General features: G+C 43.5%; 1 long non-coding RNA gene and 2 pseudogenes across 2 annotated transcripts in view, besides 2 other annotated features; 2 read left to right on the top strand and 1 right to left on the bottom strand.

The window, feature by feature from the left end:
• Positions 320–819: an enhancer, noted in NCBI's record as "H3K4me1 hESC enhancer chr5:175560207-175560706 (GRCh37/hg19 assembly coordinates)". NCBI's record gives its function as "activates a minimal SCP1, AML or CMV promoter by ChIP-STARR-seq in naive H9 embryonic stem cells {active_cell/tissue: H9 hESC(naive)}" and the evidence as "EXISTENCE:reporter gene assay evidence [ECO:0000049][PMID:30033119]".
• Positions 402–7,182, top strand: LOC107986487 (uncharacterized). Its single transcript, XR_001743014.1, has 3 exons — positions 402–491; positions 2,562–2,741; positions 7,094–7,182. It is a non-coding gene; the product is annotated as an uncharacterized LOC107986487 (long non-coding RNA).
• Positions 820–1,321: an enhancer, noted in NCBI's record as "H3K4me1 hESC enhancer chr5:175559705-175560206 (GRCh37/hg19 assembly coordinates)". NCBI's record gives its function as "activates a minimal SCP1, AML or CMV promoter by ChIP-STARR-seq in naive H9 embryonic stem cells {active_cell/tissue: H9 hESC(naive)}" and the evidence as "EXISTENCE:reporter gene assay evidence [ECO:0000049][PMID:30033119]".
• Positions 3,729–4,310, top strand: SEPHS1P3 (selenophosphate synthetase 1 pseudogene 3; annotated as a pseudogene).
• FAM153B (family with sequence similarity 153 member B) overlaps positions 6,881–16,999 on the bottom strand; it is a 64,088-nt pseudogene continuing 53,969 nt past the window's right edge. The window contains exons 22-27 of the transcript NR_169299.1: positions 14,324–14,478; positions 13,043–13,176; positions 12,209–12,278; positions 9,903–10,026; positions 9,591–9,760; positions 6,881–9,003 (exon numbers count right to left, since the gene is read on the bottom strand). The product of NR_169299.1 is annotated as a family with sequence similarity 153 member B (transcript). The remainder of the gene's footprint in view (positions 9,004–9,590; positions 9,761–9,902; positions 10,027–12,208; positions 12,279–13,042; positions 13,177–14,323; positions 14,479–16,999) is intronic.

Raw genomic sequence — 16,999 nt, 5'->3', positions numbered from 1 at the left:
TTACCAGCCCAGGACCTGACAGTGAGAAGCCAGCCCCTCAGCCCCTATGATTGTCTAAGCCACCACCTGCTGCCGGGTGACCAACTCCTCTTCCTCGCCCCTCCCCATTTCCTGTTTTTCCACACATGGTTACATTTCTGCAGGACCCCCAGCCTATCCACTAACCTGGATGTTGAGAAAGGGCTCTCTTGGCCCCCTTCCCTGCCCAGCTCTTTCCGTCCTCCTGCCTCTGCCCGGTCCCCACCCCTTCCGCAGAGACCCAGCTCCACAGGGCCTGGGCCTCTGAAAACTCGCGGGGGTGGGGGGTGGTGCGCTCTACCAGGGGAACCTGGGGAGGCGGGGCGGTTCTCCAAGTCCCCTTGGTCGCACCCCCAGCCATTCCCGATCTTGCATACCCGCGAGGCTTCCCTGCCCTCTGTGCAGCCAAAAGAGGTAAATGCACGACTTGCAAGCTGGCGCACCAGGTGAAAAGAGCGGCTGCGCCTGCAGAGGTACGGGGACCCAGGCTACTGGTGGCCTTTCCAGCATGAGGTTTCGATCCTACCCGCGTCCTGCACCCTACTCCTGCTGGCACCCGGCTCCTACCAACGCCCTGCCCTGTCCTAACCGCGCCCCGCCCCACCGGCACCCTGCTCCTACCGCTCTGCTCTACCCACACCCGGCCCTGCCAGCACCACGTCTTACCCGCCCCCCGCCCCACAATCACCCTGCCCCTACCGCACTCCGTCGCATCCTCCCACGCGCCTCCAGGACCCCGATCCTACCCGCACCCCGCGCCTACACGCTTCTCCCCACCAGTACCCCGCCGTGCCGTGCCCCGTCAGCATCCTGCTCCACCCGGACCCCTCTTCTACCTGGGCCCTGCGTCATCAGCACTCAGTTCCTACCCACACTCTCCTCCTTCCTGGGCCTGGCCCAGCTGTCATCCTGCTCCTACCCACACCCCGCTCCTACCTTTGTCCAGCCCCGGAGCACCTAGCTCCTACATGGACCTTTCTCCTACCTGCTGCCCTGCCTGGCAGCACCGCATCCTACAGGCGCCCCAATCCGCCAGCACCCAACTGCTACCAGTCCTACAGCACCTCCTACCCAACTGCTACCATCCTACACATGCTCGCCCCGCCAGAACCCCAGTCTTACCCGCACTCCACTCCCACCCATGCCATGCCCCGCCAGCACCCTGCTTCTACCTGCGTTCTGCTCCTTCCAGCTCCGTGCCCTGCCAGCACCCCATCCTACACATGCCTAGCCCAGCAATCACCCTACTCCTACTTGAACCCGGCTCCTACTCGCAGCCCACTGCTACACATGCCCCACCACTCCAGCGCCAGCCCCTACCTGAACCCTGCTCCTACCCACACCCTGCCCTACCAGTACCCCATACCACCCATGCCCCACCCCACCAGCACCCCAATATTACCCACACCTAGCTCCTACCTACAACCTGCTCCTATCTGTGCCCCACCCCACCAGCACCCGACTCCTAGGAGCACCCTGCTCTGACTCGCCCCCCACACCTACCCCCACCCCTGCCCCACCAGCACCCCACTCCTACTGGAGCCCATCCGCACTGCACCCTGGTCCTGCCTGCACCATGATCCTACCCCTGCCCAGCTCCTGCCCGCTTGATGTCTTCAGACTATTAACGTTTAGACAACCACACAATCCATTAGATCCATTCAAAATGTTTCTTGATAAACTATTTATGACATGAAAGTCACACACAACATGTTGCAGGAAACTGAGGACTGGAGAGACTGATATGAGAGTACAGGAGGATTGTTTATTTTAGGTACACATTGGCTCAGTGGATTCGCATCCAAAAAGCTGAGCATTAAACAAAGACAGAGCGGGGTTTTTGTAAGTGGACTTACAATAAATAAAACAAAAGCAGCTAATCATATGACAGGTCACATAATCTAGAGCATAGCACAACTTGTGGCCTTGCATAGCCAGTGGCCTTGTAGCTGCATTGAAAGAAAAACAGGAACTGGCTAAATACGGACATTTGTAAAACATAATCATGCTTAAGAAGGCTGGGGAAAGAGTAACAGTAAAATAAATTGTCTTTTTCTTTTTTTTCCTTCATCCTTGCTCTGGAAGAGGGGGTGTCTGGAGCCCATTCCTTTGGCCTTGGCTTCTCAAACAGCCTTATCTAATAACTGTCCTTGAAGTGAGCTGCTAAGCAGAGGAAAACTTGTTCTTTTCTTTTTAACCCTTGCCTTGCCTGTTACTTTTCTTGGAGTGAATAATTGCATATTTATTTTTAAATTTCTGCCTCACACAAACAAAATATGCTGGAATTTAATTTAAAATTAAAGAAAGAGATCTAGGAAATAAGTCACCAAATTCTCAAAAATACATTTATTAGAGTAACATGTAATTTTTAAAAGTAGTTTTAGACAAAATGTAGTTTTAGACAAATCAAGACAATTTTATTTATGGCACATGAAATTCCATAGTCTTGTGCCTAACACTTTACAATGAGAACTTTTGTTAACCAGGACACATTATTTTCTATGTTCATTTTTTTGACACATAGATTTATGTTTCCCTCCTAGACTTTCTTGCAAAAATGCCTGTTTGGGATTCCTCAGAGTACAGACAAAAAGGAAGGCTTGATCAGCATGTGGTGGATCTGAAGATTCAAAGAGGTGCCACAGCTCAAAAGTAGACATTTTGGTAAATGTGAAGAAGTGAGATTCAATGAAGATGATAAGAAATGAAAAGTGTTACCAAAAGTGAGTATGTATAGCTATGCTTGTCACACAAAGTAGGCTTTAAGTCAAAAAAGCACAAAAATAGAAAATAAAGGTCATTATAAAACGATAAAGAGATCAATTCAGCAAGAAGGTAGGACAGTTGTCAATGTAAACACACCTGACACAGGAGCCCCAGTTATTAAAGTAAGAGTTATTCGAGCAACAGACAGAGACAGACAATAATAGCTGGGGACTCCAACACCCACTTTCAGCAACAGACACACCCTCTAGGCAGAAAAGTAACAGACCAGACTGACTCCAAGAGAAGTCAAAGGGACCTCACAGGTAATTACAGAACATTTCACCCACCAACTGCAGAACGTGCATTCTTCTCATCAGCTCACAGAACATTCTCCAGGATAGACCACATTTTAGGCCACAAAACAAATCTCAAAAGAGCATTTAAAAAGTGAAAATCATAGCAAGTATCTCAGACCAAAGAGAAACATTGGAAACTCTCCAGGTACATGGTATATAAATAATGGTAATGGTCAGTGAAAAAATCAAAAGGACAAAAACATTTCTTGGAAAAAAAAGGAAACGAGAGAAAAAATGCATATAGTAGGTGTTTTTGAAGTAAAAAATGCAGAACAATAAAATTCAAAGATACAATGAAAGAAACATTTTCTGAACTAAAAATTGATTTGAATATGTTTTCTTTCATTGGTAACAAAATGACTGGCAGGGAAAGGTGACGTCCCTGATTAGATAACTTTTTTTTTTGGGACGGAGTCTTACTCTGCCACCCAAGCAATTCTCCTACCTCAGCCTCCCGAGTAGCTGGGATTACAGTCATGCGCCACCACGCCCAGCTAATTTGCTGTATTTTTAGTAGAGATGGGGTTTCACCATGTTGGCCAGGCCGGTCTCAAACTCCTGACCTCAGGTGATCCACCCACCTTGGACTCCCAAAGTGCTGGGATTATAGGTCTGAGCCACCATCACACCCAGCCGATTAGATAGGCTTTTAAAGCCGCAGCGGAAGGGGCAGCAATGTCTGTAACCGGTGGCCAAACAGTATTAAACTCCTGGGTTGTTTTGGGAGGAGTCACTACAACTACAGCCCAACTACATTTATTATGCCAGATAACACAGTGCTGGGGGGACATACTGGAGTTGACAAGATCCCCTGGGGGCACAAGTGGCAATGGCTGTGCACCAGTGGCTGGATATTCCTGAAAAATGAAATAAACATAAACTGTGGTCACCGAAGAAGATGTAGAATTAATGTACCAAAAAGCATTGATGAACATGGTCCAGGTCAACAGGAAAGCTGCAGGAATCATGTACACGTTCAATGCCCACGCAGCCATTGACATCACTGGTTTCAGGGTTTGGGAACAGGTACAGAATATGACCAGGCAGCAGAGGTGCTCTCTTTTTAAAAGTGCTTTCATGGGCAGGCATGGTGGCTCATGCCTGTAATCCCAGCACTATGGGAGGCCGAGGCAGGCAGATCACCGGAGGTTGTGAGTTCAAGACCAGCCTGACCAACATGGAGAAACTCTGTCTCTACTAAAAATACAGAAAAGTAGCCAGGCATGGTGGCACATGCCTGTAATCCCAGCTACTCGGGAGGCTGAAGTAGGAGAATTGCTTGAACCCGGGAGGCGGAGGTTGCGGTGAGCAGAGATCATGCCATTGCACTCCAGCCTGGGCAACAAGAGCGAAACTCAGTCTCAAAATAAAAAATAAAATAAAAGTGCTTTCACATATGTCAGGCATTACCAATAGTAGTGTCAAATAGCAGTTGGTGTCTTTTCATTTTATGTATGTTTATCATATGTCTGATCTTTTTTTAGTGTCTTGAATGGTTTTCTGGAAAGACAGTATTGGCAAGTGGCACAGGATGGTATCCCAATTGTAAGAGGGTTGCATGATTCCTTTGTCTTTGATTTGAAAAGCCTAGTCTTGGACCCGGCTCAGTGGCTCACGCCTGTAATCCTAGCACTTTGGGAAGCCCAGGGAGGTGGATCACGAGGTCAAGAGATCGAGACCATCCTGGCCAACATGGTGAAACCCCGTCTCTACTAAAAACACAAAATTTAGCCGGGAGTGGTGGTGGGTGCCTGTAGTCCCAGCGACTCGGGAGGCTGGGGCAGGAGAATCACTTGAACCCAGGGGGCAGAGGTTGCAGTGAGCCGAGATTGCACCACTGCACCCCAGCCTGGTGAGAGAGTGAGACTCCGTCTCAAAAAAAAAAAAAAAAAAAGAAAAAGAAAGAAAAGCCTAGTTTTGTCACTCAAGAGCATCTCACACCCAGGACATTTTCTAGTACTGCATTCTGTTCAACACAGTAACTGCTTCACTGCGTAAAAAACACTTTGAAGACAAAAAGGAATCTTTTTTTTTGTAGTCTTCCTGATATTTACAGTAATACTATTAACTATTTATTGACAGCAAAGACGAGATTATTTGCAAAGTGATGTAATTAGGATTTTTTTTTTTTTCCGAGATGAAGTCTCACTCTGTTGCCAGGGCTGGAGTGCAATGGCGCGATCTCGGCTCACGGCAACCTCCACCTTCCAGGTTCAAGCGATTCTCCTGCCTCAGCCTCCCGAATAGCTGGGATTACAGGCGTCCGCCACTACACCCAGCTAATTTTTTGTATTTTTAGAAGAGATGGGGTTTCACCATGTTTGCCAGGCTAGTCTCAAACTCCTGACCTCGTGATTCACCCGCCTCGGCCTCCCAAAGTGCTGGGATTACAGGCGTCAGCCACTGCGCCCGGCTGGTTTTTTTTTTTGTTTTTTTTTTTTTGACCAAGTTTTGCTCTTGTTGCTCGGGCCAGAGTGCGGTGGCACAATCTCAGCTCACTGCCACCTCTGCCTCCCGGGTTCAAGCGATTCTCCTGCCTCAGCCTCGCTAAGGAGCTGGGACTGCAGGCACCTGCCACCATGCCCGGCTAATTTTTATAGTGACAGGTTTTCGCCATGTTCGGCAGGCTGGTCTCCAACTCCTGACCTCAGTTGATCTGCCTATCTTGGCCTCCCAAAGTGCTGGAATTACAGGCATGAGCCACCGCGCCCAGCTGAAATTAGATGTTTTTTAGTGTAACAAGGAATTGCCTTCCAAAATGAAGTTCATGTATTATGCTCATTTGCAATATATAATTAACTGTGCAAAATGATTTTTAAATATAGTCAATAACAAAGATTGTTCTGTATATGGTAGTGTTTAATACCTTTTTTTTTTTTCCCTGAGACGGAGTCTCACCTGTAGCCCAGGCTGGAGTGCAATAGCATGATCTCGGCTCACTGCAACCTCCTCCTCCTGGGTTCGAGAAATTATTCTGCCTCAGCCTCCCAGGTAGCTGGGACTACAGGCATGTGTCACCACACCCAGCTAATTTTTTATTTTTAGTAGAGATGGAGTTTCACCATGTTGGCCAGGCTGGTCTTGAACTCCTGACCTCAGGTGATTCTCCTGTCTTGGCCTCCCAAAGTTCTGGAATTACAGGAATGAGCCACTGCATCCGGCCAATACATTTTTTAAAATCTTGTATATTGATTTCAGGCCTGTTTTCTTAACAGTAGCAGCTATTTCGCTTAATTCTGAGCAGTGTTTTGTTCTCTGGGCCAGTAGGATTTTATGCATGCTTTTTGTGATCCGTGTTCAAAATCTGGATTGCCAACATTGCAGCTCCAATGTAAGCTTGTTATTCAAATAAATATTTAATTTTTAAACTTGCTCCTGTATGGCTGGGTGCAATGGCTCATGCCTGTAATCCCAGCATTTTGGGAGGCTGAGGTGGGTGGATCACCTGAGGTCAGGAGTTCGAGACCAGCCTGGTCAACATGGTGAAACCTTGTCTCTATAGGTTCAAGCGATTCTCCTGCCTCAGCCTCCCATGTAGCTGGGATTACAGGTGCCAGCCACCACACCTGGCTAACTTTTTGTATTTTCAGTAAAGACGGGGTTTCACCATGTTGGCCAGGCAAACTCCTGACCTCAGGTGATCCACCCTCCTCGGCCTCCCAAAGTGCTGAAATTACAGGTGTGAGCCGCTGCTCCCAGCTGGGATACACATATTTAAAGTTGTTACCAAACTTCAAGGATCAAAGAAAGATTCCTAAGGAGGGTACATCTGAGAAAAGAAAAAGTTCTGTTCAAATAAATATTTTTCCGAGAGTTTTCCATAGCAATGTTTAATGCTAGAAAAAATGGAATAATATGACACATATGTGTGTATACTGTACATATAACTAAAGACATATAAAATGGTCTGAAATTACAATGCACAAAGCCAATAGCATTAGTTACTTCTGAAAAATGTACTGGAATTGAAAAGAAGACATTGGTCTTGTGTAAAATTTTAATTTTTTAAACAGAATATGAAACAATATTAATAATAACCACCACAACAATAAGAACAATGCTGAAGCAACCTCTTCCAAGTTATCAGGACAAGACCATGTGATCCAAACAGGTATGTTCAAGTTGTTTTTTAAGTAGAAGGAAGCAAACCTCATTTTCAAATATACAAGGAGAGACCCATCTCATGAAATAATTTCGATAAGCAAGAAATGACTGGAGAAGCCATGACTTTTAAAAAATTGATAGTAAGCAACCAATCCATTATAAAATTGTTAGACGATTATAAAAATGATTATAGAATTACATGCTGTAATTCCTCAAGGAAGAATATGGTGGGTGAGTTCTTATATATGTAACATTGATAAATGTGAATGATGTCTTACAATTTAAATTATGCCAAAAGAAGTAATGTGTTTTTGATGGTGTTATCAGATTAGATTCTTCCAGAAAGGTTGAAGGATCTTTCGGAAAGATTCGAACATTAAACAAACCAGAGAATAAGGTAATAGATAGCCATTGTAGGTTCCTGGATGGTATGGCAGATTATATTACTCTCAAGAAGCATTTGTTCCCTCCCCACCCCCAACGCTGCCTGCATGTACTACCCCATTTCATTAATGTTGGACTTCACCAGGTGACTTTCTTTGCTCAGTGTAGCATTAGCAGACTTGGTTCTGCCATTACTGTTACAAGAATAATGGAAAGCTGACCATTCTTCTTCTTTAGTTCCAAAAGTAAAAATAAAATGAGTGTTAAGAGACAGAATACAAGCCACAGACTAGGAGAAAATATTTGCAAAACACATGTCTGATAAAGGGCTTATATCTAAACTAGACAGAAAATTCTTAACAATTAAAAAACAATTTAAAAGTGAGAAAAAGATCTGAAGAGACATCTGAACAAAGAAAATACACAAGAGACAAATCAGCAAATAAAAAGATTCTCAGCCAGTTGCGGTGGCTCGTACCTTTAATCCCAGAACTTTGGGAGGCCAAGGTGGGCAGATCACCTGAGGTCAGGAGTTTGAGACCAGCCTGGTCAACATGGTGAAACCCTGTCTCCACTAAAAATATAAAAATTTGCTGGGAGTGGTGGCATGCACCTGTAATTGCAGCTACTTGGGAGGCTGAGGCAGGAGAACTGCTTGAACCCAGGAGGCGGAGGTTGCAGTGAGCAGTGATCACACCATTGCACTCCAGCCCAGGCAACAGAGTGAGACTCCACCTCAAAAGAAAAAATAAGGCAATTTTACAGTAAATACGAAATCTCATTTCTGAGGGCCCCCCCCACCTCCAGTTAGGTGATCCATTTGGTATGGTTGGGAGATGTGACACTCAAGGCTGGTATACCACGTGGTTACTGATTGAGAAATGTACATCACTGGGAAGAATGGATGGACTGCATGTTCTCTATGCAGCTATCAGTACACCTCTCTCTAAGCTGGCTTTTGAAAAATATGGCTGTGGGTTTGAGGTGATAACACTACCCCCTCTCCAGCAGCTCCTGTGTCGTGGTGCACGTATCAGGTGGTCTTTGTAGCCAGTGAAGATAGAATCCGGATTGGAATATATGTTAAACAAAGGCTGAATCAGGACATGTGCCAAGCTGAAGACTTTTCCAGTTCTGTACAACTGAGCCTCAACAGTGTGTTATGACAAAATTGTTCTCCAAACATTAATTTGTGGTCTGCTCCCATACACAAACAATACCAAATAATGGACTATGTGTCCATCTTGTCCATCTTTGACACTGTGTTCTACCAAGAGAGACACCTCCCAAAGCCAGAAAATGTTTATTAAACAAAATCAATGAAATGTCTGCGCACAGTCCAGGTGGCAGAGGTTTACTTCTTGAATAAATGACTTCATCTTTTAACACCATTTCACACTGAAGTCCAAATGGCCTCACAAATATTTCCTGGATCCTAACAAAGAAAATAATCTCAGTTGAAGATCCTGTATTCAATTATTTTGGCAACTATTTCTTACGTGTTTTCTTTTTCTTTCTTTTCTTTTTTTTTTTGAGAAGGAGTCTCGCTCTGTTGCCTAGGCTGGAGTGCAGTAGCACGATCTCAGCTCACTGCAAGCTCCGCCTCCTGGCTTCACGTCATTCTCCTGCCTCAGCCTCCCGAGTAGCTGGGACTAGAGGTGCCTGCCACCATGCCCAGCTAATTTTTTTTTTTTTTTGTATTTTTAGTAGAGATGGGGTTTCACCGTGTTAGCCAGGACGGTCTCGATCTCCTGACCTCCTGACCTCGTGATCCGCCCACCTCAGCCTCCCAAAGTGCTGGGATTACAGGCGTGAGCAACCGTGCTCGGTCATCTTACATATTTTCTTTGTCTAAATGACTGAGCTGGGTGCTGAGGAGATGATGTTGGCCAGGATGGTCTCTATCTCCTGACCTCATGATCTGCCCGCCTTGGTCTCCCAAAATGCTGAGATTACAGGCGTGAGCCACTTTGCCCAGCCAAGATTGAAATCTTGATGAAAAAAAGCAGTTTGGAAACTTACCTGTTTTTTATTCAAAGCCCGTCCTCTCCTTCTTGTTCATGAATGGCAGGCATCCTGTGGTGACTGAAGAAGGGCCTACCAGCGAAGGGACTCCATCGCCTGAGGAGCAGCTTCCGCAGGAGCTCCGGCAGGTTCCTTGGAAAACGTGGCAGTGCCGGGCCCATGGTGCCCTGTTCAGAAATACAAGACTCAGATTTAGTAAAGCCAGTTGTGTAATGTGAAATTCGTTTAAAAAATCCTTAACCAACACATTTCATTTCATAAGACCGATGTATTCTATCAACAGTCTTTTACTGTATGTTCATACTTAACGGCATTAAGAATCACCGTGATGGGCTGGTGACATGCATCTGGTTCATCAATGTTAGTGGCAAAGCTTCCAGCATCTACAACTCTAGTCACCAAAATCAAGAATGTCTTTCTCTTCTCTTTTTACCTAATTACAAAAAAGGGATTGATTTATGAAAAGCAATATATTAACAAATAGCACAACTTATGTTCATATCATTGCCACTTCTAGCCACAAATTAGGAGTCAGGATTAAGGAAAACTTACCTAAGTTTTCCCAGGCTATTTTAAAATTGCTTTTTTTCTACAAAAATAAATGTTAAATTCTTCTTTTGAGGTAGTCTCAATTAAGTTGCTGCTAATTGGAAAAGACTATTAGATCTTAAGCTGAACTGACAATTTTATAAAATAAATAGACTTCCTTTTCTACTATTAGAATGTTCTAATAATGAGTTCTATTATTATAGTAATACTTCTGAATTCCCTTTTAAAATATTGTTACTATCTTGGCATTTTTCAGACTTAACCTGAAAATGTTTTAAATATCAAAATAGACATATCCGAAGTTTACAACAAGGGTGTACAATCATGATGGGCACACTTCCTCAAACATGGGGGACCAACCCAACTCAGACCCATCACACCCTCAGCGTGTGGAAATGTTAAACTATACAGGAACCATGGCTGGAGACAAAAATCTGTAGGTGTCCCTGACATAAAATGCCATAGTACTTGCCTGCAGCCTGGACACACCCTCCAATATCCTTCAAATCATCTCTAGATTACCCACAATACCTAATACAATGGAAATGCAACGTAAATGGTTGTTATACTTTATTGCATAAAGAATGACAAGAAAAAAAGCTTGTACATATTCAGTACAGATGCAACCATCCTTTTTTTTCTGGAATATTTTTGATCTGAGGTTGGTAGAAAGCAAGGATGCAGGACCCACAGATAAAGAGGGCTGACTGTATTTAACACACACACACATTTTCTTTTGCCTGAGTAAAAAACAAAATTGTACTTGTAACACAGCTAAAGGATGTCAACAAAACTGTTCTTTCCAACCTCAAATTGATAGAGACGACCTTCAAAGTCCACATAGAACCTCTTATTGCCTTTTGTATTTTTAGTAGAGACAGGGTTTCACCATGTTGGCCAGGCTGGTCTCAAACTCCTGACCGTGTGATCCATCTGCCTCAGCCTCCCAAAGTGCTGAGATTACAGGCGTGAGCCACCGCACCCGGCCATCTCTATTTCTTATACACAATAATATTATAACAAGAAAGATATAAATTTGCTTAATATGCAGCTTCTGTTTCTGAGTTCTGTAGCTGTCACTCAATAAGATAAGAAAGCTACTGATCTCACCAAATCAAGGACACAATACTGTTCCCTCAGGTAGCACAAATTGCATGGGCTCAAAATATGGGAAAGACAATCAATATTTTATGAAATGGTGTATTTTAAGGCTGACCTACAGATAGGAATTTTTTTTCCAATCCAAGCAATAAAGCTTTGATGTGGATGTTCACTCCACATCCTGTCCTGATCCTCAGCTGCCAGAGGCCAGCCTGCACTTGCCTTCACACTGCGTCTTCCTTCATGGCTTCAGGCTAAGATTGCCGGGAGCCTCCTATAAATGTGGTCATCTTATGGATTAAACACTTTTTTTGTTAGTTTTTTTTTGTGTTTTAGAGACAGGGCCCACTGTCATCCAGCCTGGAGTGCAGTGGTATGATCATAGCTTTCTACAACCTCTAACTCCTAAGCTCAAGTGATCCTCCCAACTCAGCCTCCTGCACAGCTAATTTTTAAATTTTTTTTTGTAGAAATGGGGTCTTGCTATTGTTGCCTAGGCTGGTGTCAAACTCCTGGTTTATAGTAACCCTCATACCTTGGCCTCTAAGAGTGCTGGGATTACAGGAGTGAGCCATCATGCCCAGCTTAGACTAAATACTTCTTTTTTTTTTTTTTTTTTTTTTCAGATGGAGTCTTGCTCTGTTGCCAGGCTGGAGTGCAGTGGCGCAATTTCAGCTCACTGTAGCCCCCACCTCCCAGGTTCAAGTGATTCTCCTGCCTCAGCCTCCCGAGTAGCTGGGACTACAGGCACGCGCCACCATGCTCAGCTAATTTTCGTGTTTTTAGTAGAGATGGGGTTTCACCATGTTGGCCAGGATGGTCTTGATCTCTTGACCTCATGATCCACCCACCCCGGCCTCCCAAAGTGCTGGGATTACAGGCGTGAGCCACTGTGCCTGGCCCAGATTAAATACTTCTTTAGAAGATGGACTAGAAATGGGTCATCAGAAATTGTTTTTACTTACATATGAAGAATTCCAATCTTCAAAAAATTTTAGAACTCAATCAGAACTTGAGAACTTCTTTCAGTAGGTGCTGTGATTCAATAACCAGAATTCTGCTTTACTTTATAGTTACACAAGTATTTCTGTCATTTTCCTACTAAATTACGTGAAGGGGGTTGTCTGCTTATGAGCTGCACCACCGAGCAGCATGCCTATCAGTGAGAAGGTGCCTGACAATTCTCAGTTGAAATGTCCTGACCAAGTTCCCCCAGAAATTTGTGAGTATTCAACTGTATTAAAACTAAATATATTGTTTTTAATGACAAATAGTCACTATTTAGTAAAATGATTACTGTGCTATAATAGAACAAGTCCTTAGCCCAAAATTAAATGGCCACAGATTGACATATGCATAAAGCTTATCAACTATCACATAACACATTTTAACAAAAATCAAGAAGACTAATAGATGATCTCTTCTTCTTTTTCTTTTGTGAGACAGGGTCTTGCTCTGTCACCCAGGCTGGAGTACAGTGGCACAATCATGGTTCACTGCAGCCTCCACCTCCTGGGTCCAAATGATCCTCCAACCTCAGCCTCCCAGGTAGCTGGGGTCTCAGTCGCATGCCACCATTCCCGCTTCGTGTGTGCGTGTGTGTGTGTGTGTGTGTGTGTGTGTGTGTGTGTGTGTGTAGAGTCTGGTCTCAAACTCCTGGGCTCAAGCAATTCTCCCTCTTTGGCCTCCCAAAATGCTAGGATTATAGGCATGAGCTAAATCGTACCAAAGAAATTATATTTTAAAAGTAAAGTCAAAGGTAGAATTTAAGAACAAAGGAATTCTATTTCTATACTTACTAGTCCCAGGTAGACAAACAACACGGCCTTCCTCAGCCTCTACCTGAGTCGTTTCAGACGAGTATGAGCCATGAGAAATCAGAGCTGTTATTTTCTGGTTGAAACTGACACTTTAGGCTACTGTTTTCATTTGCCTGTTGAAAGAATAACTTAGCTGTATTAATCATTTAAATTAAAATTAAACATTTGAAGGGAAAACATGGGGAGCAGACAACATCTACCTCACTCAAGGAGGCAGGTAATCAATGTAAAAGGAATGAGAAAAATCACCATTGGAACCACGGGTGTAAGCAATGTTTCCAAGAGCCTTCAGCAATGACGCTGAAACCAGCTCGTGAAGTTTGCCGGGGAGTAAGATGTTCACAGTGCTTTGATGTCTCATTCCACAGATGACTAATAACAAAAGGGAAAAGCTACCCTCACAAGGAGATGTCCAGTTGACACTATCTCAACCAAAATTATTAAACATAGCATCAGCAATCGTGGGACAAACAGACGCAAACATCTCCTGGTGTGAGGTGGTAAGTACGCAACACTGCCTAATCTGAATTAGGCATTATTCCCTGTTTAATCTGGATCCATTCATGAGAACACTGTTTAATCTGTATTCTTGCCAAAATGCTCAATCTATTCTAGTCAGAAGAAAAAAGCAACCAGATATATCTAGATTATGGGTCACTCCACAAAACAAAGAGCCTAGATTTTTCAAAATGTTTCATGTATTGAAAGAACTACTCCAAAGTAAAAGAATAGAGAGATGTGACAACCAAAGGCAAGGTTAATCTTTGATTAAACTGTGGATCTAAAACAAAAATAAAGAACATTTTGGAGACAATTAGGTAAATCTGAATATGGGCTGTACATCAAATTACTGTATTATAGTTAGATGGTAGAACTGTAATTACATAGAACATGTCATTATTCACAAGAGATAAATGCTGAAGTGTTGGGGTAAAACACCATGCTCTTTGCAACTTACTTTCAAATGATTCAGAGAAGAAAGTACTTATGGAAAGAGAAAGAAACTGCAAAAGGTGGCAAATGCTAGCCACTGGTTGATCTGAATGAAGAATATGCAGATGTCTATTGTTTTGCCTTTTAATTTTCTGTAGGCAAGGGAAAGATAGGAAGGAGGGAAGGTGCAGGCATTTCTTATCAATTCATACCTGTAAAAAACAGAGTTAAAAGAAAACCAAAGGCTTAAAATTCATGTAAACATCCAGTGAGATCAATAGTGATTTTCTGTCAAATTTCTGAAAAGCCATTAAGACTGTAACATACCTGACTAGGATCACCTGTAGGTAACTTAAAGTACTTTTTCTGGAGGTTCCAGTCCTTCTACTTCGTATGCTTTATTCCATCATTCCTGGAATTGCCAGTTGTTCAAAATAAACCTCTAAATGATCATCGTAAGACATTTCATCATCAATATCATCCTTTAATAAAATTAAGAAAAAATAAAACAGGCTCTAAGGCAGTGACTAAACAATAAATAATTTGTAATAAAAAGGGCTGAGATATAAATGAGTCAATAAAATTAAGAAAAAATAAAACAGGCTCTAAGGTAGTGACTGAACAATAAATAATTTGTAATAAAAAAGACTAAGACATAAATGAGTCAATAAAATTAAGAAAAAAATAAAGCAGGCTTTAAAGTAGTGACTAAACAATTTGTAATCAAAAATACCCATCAGACATAAATGAGTCAATAAAGTATACAATTTTTTTTTGAGATAGAGTCTTGTTCTATTATCCAGACTGAATGCAGTGGTGTGATCTCAGCTCACTGCAATCTTCACCTCCCAGGTTCAAGCCATCCTCCCACCTCAGCCTCCCGAGTAACTGGGACTACACGTGTGCACCACCTCGCCTGGATAATTTTTGTATTTTTTTTTGTAGAAATGGGGTTGTCCCATGTTGTCCAGGCTGGTCTTAAACTCCTGGACTCAAGCATTCCACCCACCTTGGCCTACCAAAGTGCTGGGATTACAGGTGTGAGCCACCTCGCCTGGCCTGTTTTATACTTGACATGAGAAAACTGTTATAACTTCAGTCAATTATAAGTCATTATAAAAAAATATTTAACCTCTTTGAGAGGACAGGACAGAAAGATCCTGACACGTTATCAAAGCTTAGGGTAGGATAAATGTGCCATCACAAATGAATGGGGAAGAGAGCAGGCCCTTCAGAAAATGGTGTGGCAAATGGTTACCTCTATCAAAAAAGTACAGACGAGCCTATCATAAGAGAAGTAAAAGGAAGAAAGGGAGGAGAGAGAGAGAAAGAGAGAAAAAGGGAGGGAGGACACTGCAGAAGGCTTCAATGTTGTAACACCCAGCTCGGCAAGGATAAGATAAACCAAGAGCTCTCAGTCATGGTCTAAGTTGGCACTGGCTTTTTTTTTTTTTTTCCGAGGTGGAGTCTCACTCTGTCACCTAGGCTGGAGTGCAGTGGCGTGATCTCGGCTCACTGCAAGCTCCACCTCCTGGGTTCACACCATTCTCCTGCCTCAGCCTCCTGAGTAGCTGGGACCACAGGCACCTGCCACCACATCGGGCTAACTTTTTGTATTTTTAGTAGAGACGGGGTTTCACCGTGTTAGCCAGGATGGTCTCAATCTCCTGACCTCGTGATCCGCCCGCCTCGGCCTCCCAAAGTGCTGGGATTACAGGCGTGAGCCAGTGCGCCCGGCCTACCTTTTTAGAGGTTAATTTTGCAATTAACATTAAGAGTCTCAAAAACACTCATCACCTTTGACTTAGCCATTTCACCTCCAATAATCTAGCATACTAAAACACTCTAAGATCAGATACATTTAGGTCAATAATTCTTTATCCACCAATTACACAATCCAAAAAAATTTTAAAAACTCTTTTGGCAGCACAAGCTGTCCTCAATAAATGTGATACTATTTGTAGTTTCTATTTATACCACTCAGCTGGCCTTCAAGCCATGCATACTTTTAATGTAAGTAGCCCCAGCCTACTTCTCTGGGCTTATTTACCAACGCAGCCTCCCACAGATGCTGTAAACCTGACACAGAAAGCCCCTGGCCGTTCCCCAAACACTGCCCACATGCCTCCCAGCAGCGCCTTTGCTGATACTGTTTCTGCTTCCTGACACGCCCTCCTTCTCGCACGTCTAAGGCCTGGCACGGGCCCCATCTCTTTTCGTAAAGCTTCAGCCATACCTGCCTCAGAGGTAAATTTCTGACCCCCATGATTCCCAGGCACATTTTGGTGCTGCTGGTTGTACACAACACAATCTGAAATGTGGTTCTGCATCTCTTCTTTGCACCTGGCTGAGGTCTCAGAGAGCAGAGGCTAAATATTTCATGGCTCCCTCAATTTCTAAACACAGTGCTGTATATTGAGTGGCACCTCTAGGTGACTACTTTGTACCCTAAATGTTAAACTGAGGGATGAGTGAAACAATATCAGGATTAATAAATAAATACATTCTTGAATTCCATCACTTAATAGAAGTGGCCATTTGAATGCTGGCAGGTAGGAAGAAAAGAGGAGGACAAAGAACCCCAAAAGTTGGCATCATAACTACTGCCACAAGAAAGGAGAATCAAGCAGATTGGTAAGGTAAAGACCAGGGAAACACAGGTCACTGCAGGACTGAAGAATCTTCCAAGCTTGTCAGTAATGTAAGTTTCTCATTTTCCAATAAACTAGTGTGGCATAGGTCACTGTTTAGAGTCTTGTCTTCAAAATGTTTTCCAGCATCAAGGAAAACAATCTACAAGAAACAAAATGGTGAGAAAAAGCAGCACACTCACGGCTCTGAAGAGCACAGCATAAGGCTACAAAAAGGACCAAGCACCTTCTCAACCTGCAATGTGCTCAGTGTCTGTAAATCACAAGTTAGGTGATGAAGGGCTGGTAGTTTCCCATGAATTAATAACTTTCCTTCTTGCCCCCGTGTTATCTCCCTCACCTGACCCCCGCC

The sequence above is a fragment of the Homo sapiens genome, chromosome 5, assembly GCF_000001405.40.
Source record: "Homo sapiens chromosome 5, GRCh38.p14 Primary Assembly".
Lineage (NCBI taxonomy): Eukaryota > Metazoa > Chordata > Mammalia > Primates > Hominidae > Homo > Homo sapiens.
Note: the sequence above shows the minus strand (reverse complement) of the source record. Positions and strands in the feature narration are given on the sequence as shown.